Source organism: Homo sapiens, chromosome 2 (genome assembly GCF_000001405.40).
Source record: "Homo sapiens chromosome 2, GRCh38.p14 Primary Assembly".
Classification (NCBI taxonomy): Eukaryota; Metazoa; Chordata; class Mammalia; order Primates; family Hominidae; genus Homo; species Homo sapiens.
In genome coordinates, this window is record NC_000002.12 from 66883433 (window position 1) to 66886142 (window position 2710).

The window sequence follows — 2710 nt, forward strand, 5'->3', positions numbered from 1 at the left end:
ATTTCCTTCATTTTTAAAGGCTGAATAATACTCCATTGTATATAAGAACATTTTCTTTATCCATTCATCTGTTGATGGACACTTAGTTTGCTTCCGTATCTTGGATATTGTGAATAATGCTTCAATGCATATGGGAGTGCAGATAATCTCTGATATATTGATTTCAATTACTTGGGTATATACCCAGAAGGGGGACTGCTGAATCTTATGGTGATTCTATTTTTAGTTTGTTGAGGAAATTCCATACTGTCTTTCATAATGGCTGTACTAATCTATATTCCTGTCAACATTACAAGGGTTCCCATTTTCCTAAATCCTCACCAATGTGGGTGTTATCCATGCTGTCTTTTGTCTTTTTGATGATAGCCACCTAACAGTTGTGAGGTGATATCTTACAGTGGTTTTAATTTGCATTTCCTGATGATTTGAGATGTTGAGCTTTAATATATATACACATACACACATATATAGGCCCCTTTCCCATTTTAAAATCAGGTTGTTTGTTTTCTTGCTATTAAGTTGTTTGATTTCCTTATATCTTTTGGATATTAGCCTCTTATCAGATGTTTGTTCTATAAATATTTTTTCCCAGTCCATGGGTTGTCTACGAATTCTGCTAATTGTTTTCTTTGCTGTGCAGAAGCTTTTTGATTTAATACAATTCCATTTGTCTATTTTTGCTTTCGTTGCCTGTGCTTTTGAGTCTTATTCAAAAAAATCATTGTCCAAACCAAAGTCCTGGCACTTTCCCCCATGTTTACTTCTAGTAGTTTTACAGTTTCAGATCTTAATTTTAAGTCTTTAATCCATTTTGAGTAGGCTTTTGTATATAATGTGAGATAAGTGTTCAGTTTTATTCTTCTGTATGAGGATATATAATTTTCCCAAAACTATTTATTGAAGACTGTCCTTTCCCCATTTTGTATTCTTAGCACCTTCATTGAAAATCAATTGACTGTAAATATGTGGGTTTATTTCTGGACTCTCTGCCCTGTTCTACTGGTCGGTGTTTCTGTTTTTAGTCCAGTATCATGCAGTTTTGATTACTATAGCTTTGAAGTATATTTTGACGTCAGGTAATGTGATTTGCCCAGCTTTGTTCTTCTCGCTCAAGATTGCTTTGGCTATTCTGGGTCTTTTGTGGTTCCATAAAAATTTCACAGTTGTTTTCTATTTCTGTGAAAACTGACATGGGAATTTTGATAGAGATTGCATTGAATAAATAGCTTTGGGTAGTATGGACATCTTAACAATATTAAGTCTTCCAATCCTTAAACATGGAATAACTTCCCTTTATTTGTGTTGTCTTCCATTTCTTTCATCAGTGTTAATTTTATATCCTGCAAATTTACTGAATTTGTTTGCCAGTGATAGCAGTTTTTTTGGTGAAGTCTTTAGGCTTTTCTGTATATAATATCATATCATCAACAAACACAGAAACTTTCACTTCTTTCTTTCCTATTTGGATGCCTTTTATTTATTTTTCTTACCTAACTGCCCTGGCTAGGACTTCCAGCAGTATGCAGAATAGAAGTTATCTGCTCTATTTTTTTTTTTTTTTTTTTGAGATGGAGCCTCGCTCTGTTGCCCAGGCTGGAGTGCAGTGGCGTGATCGCAGCTCACGGCAAGCTCCGCCTCCCGGGTTCTCGCCATTCTCCTGCCTCAGCCTCCAAGTAGCTGGGACAACAGGCGCCCGCCACCACGCCCGGCTAACATTTTTTTTTTTTTTTTTTTGGTATTTTTAGTAGAGACGGGGTTTCACCGTGTTAGCCAGGATGGTCCCTCTGCTCTATTTTGAAACTCATTTGCCACTCTCCACCCATTCCATAGTTACTCATTTCTGCTCATTTACCCAGCTCTTTCCCTTATCAGAAATTCTACCCTTACCTGTCTGTTTAATGCTTAGGTAGTCTTCAGAGCACACTTTCAGTTCTTCCTCTTGCATAAAGATTTTCTGGATCCTGAAATGACCTGTCCTTTATTACTTATTTGTTTCATCAGGCACTTCTCTTTTATTACCTTGCAGTTGTTGGTTATTTTGGTAGGTGTAGATATCTGATCTCCCCGTTTACAGGATGGACTCTGAAGACAAGGGTCACACCACTGTAGCTGTTGCTGTTGTTGTTACATGGTTAAAACCCTCTGATTCCTAGCTGAGAGCCTAGCCTTCATTGTTTCTACAATGGATATTTGCTTTTTGATATACATGAAATTTACTCATCATTCTCAGACACATCTATTTCTGATTCTCATTGTTCTATTAAAACGAAAAAAAATTCAGAAAACAATGTCAAAATCAGTGCATAAACAAAATGCACCTTGTAAGAGAAATTACTTACCAGTATGTAATGAAGGTAATGGTTCAGCAGCACTTTAAAAAATTATTCTAATTTCCTGTTTTAAACTGTGACTCTTTAAGAAAGCATTGGCATCCTCCCTTTTCTGACTCCAATCCCTTTTGCAGCTTCATTGTTCTCTGGCAAAGGTTGCTTGAGGTTTGTCATCATCTTTCAACTCAACTTTGAGAACCAGAATTTAGACTATGGTTCCCACACCTTGATCAGTTACTAGGTCCAAAGGCTTTTAAGGCTAAGTCAGGCATAGTAATAGTTTACAAGACTAAATTCCTTGGCAAGGAAAATGACATCTGTAGAAAGACGGGAATTTTTTTAAATCTTTTTTTTTAAATGAGTTACTGCAGATGGGGCTG